General features: G+C 37.7%; 2 annotated features.

The window, feature by feature from the left end:
* Positions 7,524-8,111: an enhancer, noted in NCBI's record as "OCT4-NANOG-H3K27ac hESC enhancer chr2:117845536-117846123 (GRCh37/hg19 assembly coordinates)". NCBI's record gives its function as "activates a minimal SCP1, AML or CMV promoter by ChIP-STARR-seq in naive H9 embryonic stem cells {active_cell/tissue: H9 hESC(naive)}" and the evidence as "EXISTENCE:reporter gene assay evidence [ECO:0000049][PMID:30033119]".
* Positions 8,112-8,700: an enhancer, noted in NCBI's record as "OCT4-NANOG-H3K27ac hESC enhancer chr2:117844947-117845535 (GRCh37/hg19 assembly coordinates)". NCBI's record gives its function as "activates a minimal SCP1, AML or CMV promoter by ChIP-STARR-seq in naive H9 embryonic stem cells {active_cell/tissue: H9 hESC(naive)}" and the evidence as "EXISTENCE:reporter gene assay evidence [ECO:0000049][PMID:30033119]".

Genomic DNA, 12,415 nt, shown 5'->3' with positions numbered 1-12,415 from the left:
TGATTTCATTTTGATATTTTGATCCCAGGATTTAATTTTAGAAGTTAAAATTAATTTTTTTCTTTACTGACCCAGAAAAAGAGCTTTCTCTTAGGGCAATATATGTGCAAGCTAAAAACATTCCAGAGGAATAAAACAAATTATTGTCTGAGCACACTTTTGGTGAGACTTTTTTTTCCCCCTTCTGAAGTAACGCATATTGGGCTGGATAACTCTGAAATACATTAATATAGTAACAGTTAAAAAACTGAGTAACTGGCCGGGCGCGGTGGCTCACGCCTGTAATCCCAGCACTTTGGGAGGCCGAGGCGGGCGGATCACGAGGTCAGGAGATCGAGACCACGGTGAAACTCCGTCTCTACTAAAAATACCAAAAGCTGGGCATAGTGGCAGGTGCCTGTAGTCCCAGCTACTCTGGAGGCTGAGGCAGGAGAATGGCGTGAACCCGGGAGGCGGAGCTTGCAGTGAGCCGAGATTGCGCCACTGCACTCCAGCCTGGGCGACAGAGTGAGACTCCGTCTCAAAAAAAAAAAAAAACTGAGTAACTAAAGGGTGTTATTCCAACTACCTTTAAATGGCATCATATGTGTTTGTAAGTAGAATCCATTTGGCTATATTTACACTACACTACAGCCATGTAATAGAAATCTGACTTTGATATGTAACAAATCTATGTGCTTAATTAAAACACTAGCTTATGTGCAGTTAAGGGAATAATGAAAGCTAATGATGGGATTTTTGGAGATCAGAAAATAGGCAGATTCTAGATCTATAGTCTGTAGATTCTGTGTTTCCATTCTCACTCAAGCCAATGAAGTGGATGGTATGGGATGCTGAAGCCCCACAAATCTTGTAGCCATATGTGTGTGCCTCAGAGGGTTATCAATTGGCTCATATTTGTCTTCATTTCCTGATGATTTCTGAAAGCTAGCAACACTTGAGGTCATTTGTCTCATTTAATTTTCCATTCCCAGCCCAACTGCATGTGCCGGGAGACATTAAACAAGCCCTCAGAACTCATGCGCAGAGACCTTCATCTGTCTTGCTTCAGGTGTTCGTGTCTCCCACTCTGCTGTCTTCTCATTTCCACTACAAAGCCACACTTCCGTTTCTGGTTTGCCATTGCTCCAGGAACTTGCTGAATACTTCTGGTGTTAAAGAACTCTGGCCTTGGTTTCAAGTGATTCCAAACTAGGGTTTTTATTTATTTATGTATTTTTCATGAAGACAGTCACTCATCTGGCAAACCATGGAATATGTTTTCTTTTATATTCTCATTGTACCTAAATCTGCTCCTCTACTCTAGTTGTCTTTGACTCATGAGTAGTTTAAGTAACCAAGTATTGAAAAATGTGTTCCCATTTCCATAATTTTATGGGAGATGTCAACCTTCTGTTTCACTTTATGATCACCTTGAGATCAACTAGAAATATCATTATTTCAGAGCATGAATAACATAGATAATACAATATTCGGATCATGAACCTTTGATTCAGCTGCATAAGAGTCAAATCTTGCCTCTCTTCTTTATTAATTGTTTGACCTTAGCCAAACTCTCTAGGATTGAGAAAAGTGCCTTTGTCTATAAAATGGAGTAGTAATAATATCTAATTCATTGAAATGTGGTCACAAGTAGAACAGATAATTTATGTGAAGCCCTTGTTTCTTTGTCGTGGAGAAAGAGCTCAGTAAATGTTAGCTATTATTTTGATAAACATTTTGGTTTTTGTTTTTAATTTTAATCCTTCAGAAGCTTGATTATACTTTGATAAAAATTTTAACTGTAAACACTTCTATCAGTTTCTATTGCTGATAGTCATTAAAGTAATGATCTTGTCTCACTGTCACTGGTTCAATTTTCCACTAAATATGTTTAAAACAAAGAAATCCTAAAATTTATTGCTTTACATTTTCACTGTCCCTATACAACAGAAACATCTGCTCAAGAAGTACCAGTCTGTGTACTGACTATACTATTGTGTATTAATTGCAAATGTTGTTTTTTCCTCCAGAATATACTCTAGATGTCCATTTTTATAATACTTTCTTCAGATAAGTAAGTTGATTAATGCCTATTCCATCACCAACCATGTCCTGTATCCAATGGCTTTTGGTTCTTTGCACCTGCATAGCACCATGGTTCTATTTATCGTGCTTTCAGGTGCAAGACCCTAAGCACAGAAGTGTGATTCTTTGTCAATAAGTGTTTGCCCTGTAATGGCATAGAATAAAATATAGTATTATGAAACTTACGCATAATAAGAGTTAGATTGTTTGGAGATTTAAGGATATTGTTTCTTAACTTGAACATATTTCTAATACTATAATAATACGTAGAGTTAAGTTTAGTTATTGGGCCATGTAAAATGCCCGTGACCAACAAGAGTCAGAAATAATTTACTTTTTGGGGCATGAAAACTGAAGCTTTGGAAAAATAGTGACTTTCTCTAAGGCAAAGGGTTAGTAAGTGCTGTGAACAGACTAGAGTCAGGCCTTGATAATGAACTCTGGGAAGATTCTGCTGCTGTACCATGCCACTGCTGAAGTGTATTATAATGATAAACATTCTCTTCATCTTGGGATTGTTAGTGGATCCATATCAAGGATATATACCGACAAATGTCCCCACCCCATTTATTAGAAAATGGCTTGAGTTGCTCTATCCCCAAATTTTGAAAATTGTTGCTCTTCATAAAGTGGCTATGATGCATCATGAATTTAAAATGTTTTAGCTGACAACCACTGCTTCCAATAACAAATGATTAACCTGTATGATATAGCCATGCTTCTTAGTATATTACGATATAAAGCCTAAGAAAAATAAAATATAAAGCCTAAATAACCAAAATCTTTGAAATAAATAATTAGAATATAGTAAGTAAAAGCATGTACAAATATATGATTAAATTTTTACTACTTATTTGAGTTAGCTCAGACCATATTTTTGGAGTCAGCAAATATATAGTTTGGCAAAGAGGATATTTTTAGTTGAATACTAATGATTTCTTGAACAGGTTCAATTTTGAAAATTGCAGCATTGTGCTATACTTTATGCAGTAAATGAAAAGTCTATTAAGAAGAGAATTATTCTCCATGCTTGTGGTCAAGGCTTGAATGGAAGGTGGAAAAATGTAATGCTTTGAGTGGTACCATAGCTCTGCCTTAGTTTGAGAACAATTATTATTTTTCTTATGAATCTCTTCAGCATAGCTTGTATTGAGTTGGTGCAAAAATTATCACGGTTTTTTGCCATTGAAAGTAATAGCAAAAACCGTGATTACTTTTGCACCAACCTAATACAATCTTAAATATTAAGTGCTTACAATATGCTTTTCAATTGTAAAATTTACTAAAATCTTCATGTACAAAGTACGAACTGGGTGCAACATGGTCCCATCCATATGTTTATTCCACAGAGGGTATTTAGTAACTTATGTGCCCCTCCCTTCCTAGGCCTCCCCTGCCTTCAGGTGGTCTTCTGTCCAGATTTTTCAGGCTAACAATCCTCTACATTTTTGAGAGATTTTCTCTCTAAGCAGAAGTTGGTGTCACTTTGTAGCAACATTGGTCTTCAGCCTGACGTTCTCTGAGGCTCTGCTCCTCTTTGTCCTTGTTGCTTCAGTAGGCCATAAGTCATGGATCCATGAAGAAGGGGGAAATATTCAGCCAGGAGGGATATAAACTAGATTTGATGGATTGACTTTTTTCCACTGCATCGTGGCCTCTGCTGTGTTAAAAACAGGCATAAGGCCAGGCGTGGTGGCTCAGGTCTGTAATCCCAGCACTTTTGGAGGCTGAGGTGGGCGGGTCATCTGAGGTCAGGAGTTTGAAACCAGTCTGACTAACATGGTGAAACCCTATCTCTACTAAAGATACAAAATTAGCTGGGTGTGGTGGTTCATGCCTATAATCCCAGCTACTTGGGAGGCTGAGGCAGGAGAATAGCTTGAACCCAGGGGACGGAGATTGCAGTGAGCTGAGATCCTGCCATTACACTCCAGCTTGGGCAACAAGAGAGAACCTCTGTCTCAAAAAAAAGAAAAGAAAAGAAACAGAAAAGCAAGCATAAGAACCACAAACTAAGATAGCAGCCATGTACTTCCCTTTCTACCAGAAGCTTTACCTTGTCAATATCTATACTCATAATACATGGACCTCAATTAGAGGGTTAACAAAATGCCCATTCTGAGTAATTAGAAAAATAATTTCACTGGACTCAAGGTGCCATTTAAAATAAATTCTGAACTTTCTGTTAACAATGGCAGAAAAAAGTTTCCTCTCCTTTTTCTTTTCTCGACATTGTATAATACAAAAAAAAAAAATGAAGACAAGCAGGAAAAAAGAAACTTTATCTTTAAAGAAAAGTGTACACAGCCATGTCTCAGGAATCTAGTCAATAAAAAGATATTCCAAACATTATACAAATCATACCATAAACTTCTTCAGAGTGGCAGTGTATGATTCAGAGAGGCTCAAAGCCCTCTTTTATTACTTAGTAGCCATAACTTTGGGCAAGTTAGTTATTTTCTGTGCCTCAGTTTTCTCACATGTAACAGAGTATAAATACTCAGGGCACCTCATGTAGGGGTTGTGAAGAATGAGTCCTTACATGCAGGCTGCATGGAACAGTGTCTGCCACATAGTCAGACGCAAAAGTTAATAATGTGTTTTCTTCTCTCCCATAAAGAAGATGAAGCATAAGTTTTCCAAGGAACTCACAATTTGAGGAGCAAACCAATAGCTCTAGTTTAGAATAAAAAGCTTGGTGAGAGGAAGGCAGCTGTTAGGAAGTGTCTGAGCACTGTTAACTGTCAGACAGTGTCAAGCAAGACAGAGCAGGGTGAGGAAAGCTGCAGGCACATCATCTCTGTAAGATGCAAGCTGCTGGTTTGACAAAACAGAAGGAACATTTCCTTGCTGTTCTTGATGAGCAGAATCATAAAGAATAAATCACCACATAAAGTACTTTGACTAAAGAATAAGAGTAGGAGGTGGAAGGAGTCTTCACTTTGAGTATTGGAGACTTGCTGCTAGCCCAGAGTACAGTCACAGCTACCAAGACGAGTGATGATGTGAAAATCAACCATCAATAGACCAACACTTAAGCTCCTGTGACCAATAATTTAGTCCACACTATTTTCTTAACTATCAAGCAGTAGAAAATACCTCCAGTTAATGATTAATAATAAAAAACAGATCATAGCAATTTTTAATGATATCCAAAAATAAAACAACCCAGATGCCCATCAATAACACAATGAATAAACAAATTTTCATGTATCCATGCAATAAAACACAACTCATCAACAAAAATGAGTAAACTACTAATGCATGCAACAAAGATGAATTAAACAGACTCACAAGAGAATATGTTTTATAATTCCATTTTTATGAAGTTCAAGAACAAGTTAAACTAATCTGTGGTGTATTAAATTAAAACAGTGTTTTCTTCTAGGAAGAAGCTGGAGATTGACTATGAAAGGACAACATAGAAGTTTCTGAGATGATGGAAATGTTTTGCATCTTGATAGGAGCTTAGTTCATGGATGCATGCATTTATCAAGATTAATCACGTTATAACTTTTATATAACTCTTAAGATCTTTAATTTGTATGGTATGCATTGGTACTTAAGTTAAAGTATTAAAGAGAGAAGTCAAAATATTTAATAGTTTATAAACAACACACCGATAAGAAAAAAGCTACCTGAAATATCACAGCCAGACACAAAACGTATATCAGAAAATGTACACTAAGAAAAGTAAATAAGCTTTATAATATTTGGATTAAGATTTTTTTTTCCAATGATCAAGTAAAATTATAAAAAGATTTTCAGCTGTGCACGGTGGCTCAGGCCTGTAATCCCAGCACTTTGGGAGGCCGAGGTGGGTGGATCGCGAGGTCAGGAGATCGAGACCATCCTGGTTAACACGGTGAAACCCCGTCTCTACTAAAAATACAAAAAATTAGCCGGGCAGGGTGGCAGGCACCTGTAGTCCCAGCTACTTGGGAGTCTGAGGCAGGAGAATGGTGTGAACCCAGGAGGCAGAAATTGCAGTGAGCCGAGATTGCACCACTGCACTCCAGCCTGGGCGACAGAGCTAGACTCCGTCTCAAAAAAAAAAAAAAAAAGATTTTCCCAAAATGAAAAGATAGAGAAAAATTGACCTCTTTAACGTAGGAAGTCAAGGAAGAGGTGCAATATCTCAAAGGAGAAATTACAATATTGTTGGAAAAGGAAGAGTAAACTGGATGAGATTAGGAAAATAAATATATTAGGAGATTAATATGAGATGAGGCAAATAAAATATATTATTTCAGAAACATGTCTGCAGACATGATCAGAGAAATGGAGGACAGACTTGTGCAAATGAATAAATGAAATAGATATTAAAGAATGATGGAGTAGGGGGGCCATGAGAGAGCTTAATTGGTACTCCTAAAAAAGAGAACACAACAACAAGATAGAGAAAATGTTCAAAGACATATATGAGAAGCGCTTTCTAGAAGTTAATGAAGGCCTGAACTTACAGATTGAAAGAGCAAACTCTATTTATGTTAGGAAAATAATAATAATAGTAATAGAGTATGAAAAATACAAGGGCATCTCAAAATAAAGTTATTTTCATAAAGTATAAAAATAAAACTCTATAGCCATCAAGACAAAAATAAAATCAAGTGCTATAATTGAGGAAGAGCATGAAAACCTTATATTTCTTCAAAGAAACATACAATGCAAATAAACAAAGATAGTATCCAAATAGTCATCAGAGAAAGAATGCATTTCCCAAGATTTTATATCTATACATGTTTTAAAAATGAAGTAACTTAGAACTATTATCCAAACATATATAACATTAGGGAATATCAATTCCATGAGTTCTAATCTCATACCAGAAGATGACATTATGTTCCCCATCAGCAGTCAACTTACCTTTGCTATTATCTTCCTCTTATATCTCCCTCAAGTCGTCTAAATGCTGAAATTTCGCAAACAGAATTTGACCCATTTGTACTGCATCTTCTTACCTCCTAACTAAATGCAAATATTTCCCAAACAACTCCCAAACCCTAGTAAAATAAGTCTAATAAATCTATTACTAATGAAAGATGTTGAAAGGAGAAAGAGGAAGAATAACTTGAGACAATGGGACTTCTCAAATGAAAGGGAACAGCTGGACATGGTGACTTACATCTGAAATCCCAGTGACTCCAGAGGCTGAGGTTGGTGGGTCACTTGAGGTCAGGGTTCAAGACCATCCTGGGTTAACATAGCAAGACTATGTCTCTAAAATAATTAGCCAGGCATGGTGGCACACACCTTTAGTCCCAGCTATGCAGGAGGCTGAGGTGAGGGAATCTCTTGAGCCCAGGAGCTCCAGGCGGCAGTGAGCTATGATGTTGCCACTGCACTCCAGACTGGGCAACAGAGTGAGATCTTGTCTCTAAAACAATAATCCTATAACTAAAATAAAATGAGAGGAGGAAATAGCAATGAAAAACATTACAGAGAGAGGCCAGTGGTATCAAGGTGAATTTTTCCCCTTCACATTTATTCTATGTAAAGCCATAATTTTCATAGCACTCTTGAAAAAAATCTGAGGCCTTCCCATGAATGATGTTACATAACTAGGTGGGCTTACAACTGGAACTGAAACTCAGCATTGCTTTGTCTAGTGCACAGTATAATGTTGTTAAGTCTGTGGCTTTGAATCTTGTAACATGCAATTCCATTGGCTGAAAAGAGGCAAAAACATAAGATACATTAAATGCAGCTTTCCACTGCATAAGCAGCCACCCACACCTCTTAGAACTCATGCTCTACCCTGGAGCAGAGGTCCCTTGTCCCTGATTTCAACATAGCTGGAATGGGCAATTCCTTCACATGGCTATGTTCTCTCTGCTTTCTCAGAAGCCACGGGAGGCACATCAGCCCGAACGCAGGTACAGCCTATAAGAATTCAAGAAAGAGGAGAGAAACATGAAGGGTGGCGTTTCGGTCAGCAAGGACAGGTTTATTTTAAATAAACCTGGGGCGGCTGGCTGAGTTAGCTCAGAGCCACACTCGCTTACAGGCTAAGAGTTTTTAAGGATTTAGGGTAGGGAAGTTTATTAGAGGCTTGGACTTCTTCTGTGTCTCTTTGTTGTGCTTATCTGAGAGGGAGAGTTGTGTGTCTGTTCCCATAAATCTTTCTGCAGCTGCAGGCATATCCCCCAAGTCTGCTTTTAGCTTCCCTATCTTAGTGCATCTGAAGAGAAAGGAATGTGCTTATTAAAGCCCGCTGTTTTACTGGGGCCCATTGTGTGAGGGTGAAGTTTGGCAGTTACCCAAGAGACTTTCCCCCTACTTCCCGCTGTGCCTGGGCTGTCTTACCTTTGTTTTACTGTCTGCTCTTTCTGTCTGCTTGTTAGAATAGAAATGATCTCCTTGTAATGCATGAGGCTAGAAAGGGAACTGGAACCTAAAGTGGTGGTGTTTGTCCCAGATGACAGTGCTCCTGCTCTGTCACAGCCCAGGAGGGTTGGGGAGTCAGCATGATGAGGGATGTCCCGCTACCAGATATGAACTCAGCCTTCCTTATTTCAGTGGTAAGTTTCTCAGGGTCTCCTTTGCTCTTGAATTCCAGTAGCCCACAGTGAAAACGAAATAATGAGATATTTATTGGATTTTCTCCTTTCTCTTTCTTTCTCCCATCCCTCACTTATGCATCCTAAAATCACCTCCAAATAAGCTACCAACAGGATAATTCTTGCTTCAGGGGAACTGAAATTAAAATATACGCTTTCAGGATCTATGAGTTAGGTGGTCCTGGGAGCAGTGAGTCAAAACCAGGAATATAATATTATCACTTAACGACTGGACTTACCTACAGGTCTTAAGTGACGTGAACGCCATGAGGAAGGATCAAGTCACTGGAAGAATCCCAGTGAGGCAGCTATTCCTCTTGTGTTAGATTAAAGATGACTTTCCAGCTTAAATAAAACATGAAGTAACCTCTAAGTAGATTAGAAAATGAAAGAATATAAATGCCTCCAGTTTTCCAGGAAATGCTGCAGTATAGTCAGAATGACAAGGCAAGCTCTGACATTAGCCCTGGTCCCTTCCCGCAGAGAGGGGGCATAATATACTGGATTGCATAAAACATCTTCTCTGTTTGAAGCAATGGAATGATTGCTAATGGTGACTGCTTTCTGAAACAACAAATTAATGAGATTCCATTTAAAATTCTTTCCCCAAATGCCTTCAGTTTATTTTCTCATTAAGCAAAGGTCTTGGGGTGGCAGCTGTGACTTTGTTGGGTTAATGATAGTGGAACATGAAAAAAGCATCCAGACTTTGAGGGGATGAAAGGATGGACACCTGGGAGATACAATTGTAGATGAACAATCCTTTTTGATGATCTGTCCACCCAGGAAAGTGCAAAAACTGATTTATTTCCAGTAAAATAGCTTTTTAACTTTTACTTTATGTTTTTTTCTAGGTTTTTTTTTTTTTTTTTTTTCTGATCTATGCAGCGCTCACTCCCCAAGGAAAAGTTTAGTTCAGGCATTCACACCCCGATCTTTTATGGAGGAAGTGTAAAGGGTTTTGATTGAACTATGAGGGCAGCCAGGTTCCTTCATTATCATGCCAGCAGGTCTTCAGGGATGCATAGGCGGTGGTTCATCTTGATTCAAGGGACTTTTCACAGAAAACAGAAGCCTGTTTTAAAAGTATGATGACCTCACTCAGGGCTCACTGACTTCTCCCATCCACCCTGCCAGAACCATCAGGGTCAGAACAAAAGCAAAGCAGCTCCAAGTGGAGTGGGTGTGCAGCATTTGCATTTCCATGAGATGGAGAGACCATACTTTCCCATGTTCTTAATGCCAAAAACTACCTTTGTACAATACCTTAATTTATGGTACATTTTCCTATTCATATAGAGTAGAAATGAAAATTACTTCTTGTTAGCAATGAAGACTTGGGGGCTTAAAAGTTAAATAGCAAGAGTAAAATCTCAGCATTAATAAGGGGAAAGCTGGGATTTGAACTCATGTTATCTGACTTTAGAAATCAATTTTCTTTGCCACATGGTGCCTATAAAAGGGCTTTGTTTTATAGATTTTCAACAAATTTGAATTGTCTGATGAATCATCTCCAATCTCTTCTATGACTCATCATTTTCTCATTAAGTTTGCAAAAGGAAAATGAACAGTAGGGAAAAAATATCTGTACCAGAAACAGCGTCTAAGTTTGAAAAAGAAGGTTAAAAATATATCCTGTATTTCTAATGAAAATTTATACAATGTGAACATCATTGCTAGCTGTCAATGAACACAATTTGAAGAATAGGGCAAGTTATTTGCAATACATTTATTTAAAGTGTTTAAATATCTTTTATAATAGAACTTATAATCATTTATTGAATAGAACTACTTTGAACTATTTTAATAAATATTATTTGGAGATTGATATGGTTTGGCTCAGTGTTCCTACCCAAATCTCATCTAGAATTAGGATCCCCATAATCCCCATGGGTCGAGGAAGGAACCTGGCTGGAGATGATTGGATCGTGGGGGTGGTTCCCCCATGCTGTTCTAGTGATATTGAGTGAATTCTCAAGAGGTCTGATGGGTTTGTAAGTGTCTGACAGCTCCTCCTTCACATGCTCTCTCTTTCTCTATTGCCAGCTTGTGAGAAAGGTGCCTGCTTCCCGTTTCACCACAACTGTAAGTTTCCTGAGGCCTCCCCAGCCATGCAAAACTGTGAATCAATTAAACCTGTTTCCTTTATAAATTACCCAGTCTCAGGGAAGTTCTTTATAGCAGTGCAAAAATGAACTAATACAGAGATTTTTGAAAATTCTGAAAATGAGAGTTTTCCCTCCCATCTGTAAGCCCATTTTACCTAGGATGGTATTGGGTATGTAATAATTATTGAATAAATACTTGCAAATTGATTGTAAGTCATTGAAATGTAGGATCAATGGTATATGTGGTAGATGAAATGATATATGTCAGGAAACTATACTGCTTATTGTGTCAGTAGATAACTGAATAGGAAATGTGTTACATATTAACGGTGTTTTGCTATTATAAAAAATGGAGACTACCTCTTCTACTTCTTTAATAATTAAAGTACTCAAGTGGCAACAGGATGGATTAATAAGATCTAGCTAAGAAACCTCAAACTCTGGGTTGAAATACAATGAAAAGTAGTAAAATTCCCCTAAAAGAAGATGAAGATGAGAAGTATATCTTTTTTGAATTGTTTGGGAACAATAGCCAAAAAATGTCCTAAGCTAAAATTTTTGGTTGACTACAGTTTAGTAAGAGTTTACTACTTCTTAGTTGGTCAACTCCACCCTGTTTTGTGTCTTGAAGTCTGTGTGGTCTGTAACAAGGAGCCTCTTTGCCTTCTGATGTTTGACTGATGTGATCTAATGGGAGGTACTTGCTGGAGGTTTAAGGGTAGGAGAAAATTATGCACAGCTATTCCCCTAGCTTCCTTCTGCAAGGTGATCTGCTTCCCTTTCCTGAGGGCTACAGCTCCTCCAAGGTCTCTCTTCATCCTCTGTTGCCCTAGGGAGTGAGTGCCCTGCAGTAGTATTAGTCTGCTGATTTAGGGAAAGAAAGGAATTAGGAAAAGAAAGGAAGTAGCTTCTAACCCACTTCCTTTACTTTCATGATAAAATGTTCCTTGGAAAAATAATAAAGGCAGGAGACCTAGTCTATTCCACAGGTAAACATGATAATCAACCTTCTAGCAACTAGACTAAGGGTATGGAATGCTTTAAGTATGATTATTTAGGATTACTTTAGGTGAAGAAACCAATAATCTACAGATGTATTGTCCAGGGACATAGTTCCCTTGAAAAATAGTAGAAATTATGTAATTATCTGTGCAGAAAATAAAGATGTTTAGATGTTCCTTGCTGTCTGAGAAGGTACTTTACTTAAAAACATCGTCTTTCAACCTGGACCAGGTAAGGATCTAAGACAACAGAGTTGATACCCAGGATCACTTTTTCTTTCCCATACCTCCTCAGTGCCTGAATCTTTATGTGATCTCTGATTAATATAAGTGTAGTTTCACCATCTTTTCTTTGTGTCATCTCAGCTTTTCTAAATCCTATTAAATGTTCCTTAATTAAACTCTTGCAAATATCCGGTTTGAATATGCCATGGCTTCCTAGCTGGTATCCAGACTAAAATGGTATTATTGCTTTTCAGCATTTTAAAAATATTGATGTTAATTGTTTTGTTTGTTAACTGGAAATGACATAATGTAGCAATGCAAGCACCTAGCTTGTTTCAGCAGTAAGGCAACCAATCAACCAATATTTTATGTGTAAAACTAACATACAAGACTATTTCCTTAATTCTGTGGTCACTAATAAAATGGATCTTGTGTCTGTCCTCTTCAGGAAACA

The sequence above is a fragment of the Homo sapiens genome, chromosome 2, assembly GCF_000001405.40.
Source record: "Homo sapiens chromosome 2, GRCh38.p14 Primary Assembly".
NCBI classification, from domain to species: domain Eukaryota; kingdom Metazoa; phylum Chordata; class Mammalia; order Primates; family Hominidae; genus Homo; species Homo sapiens.
This window is presented reverse-complemented; position numbering and strand designations above follow the sequence as displayed.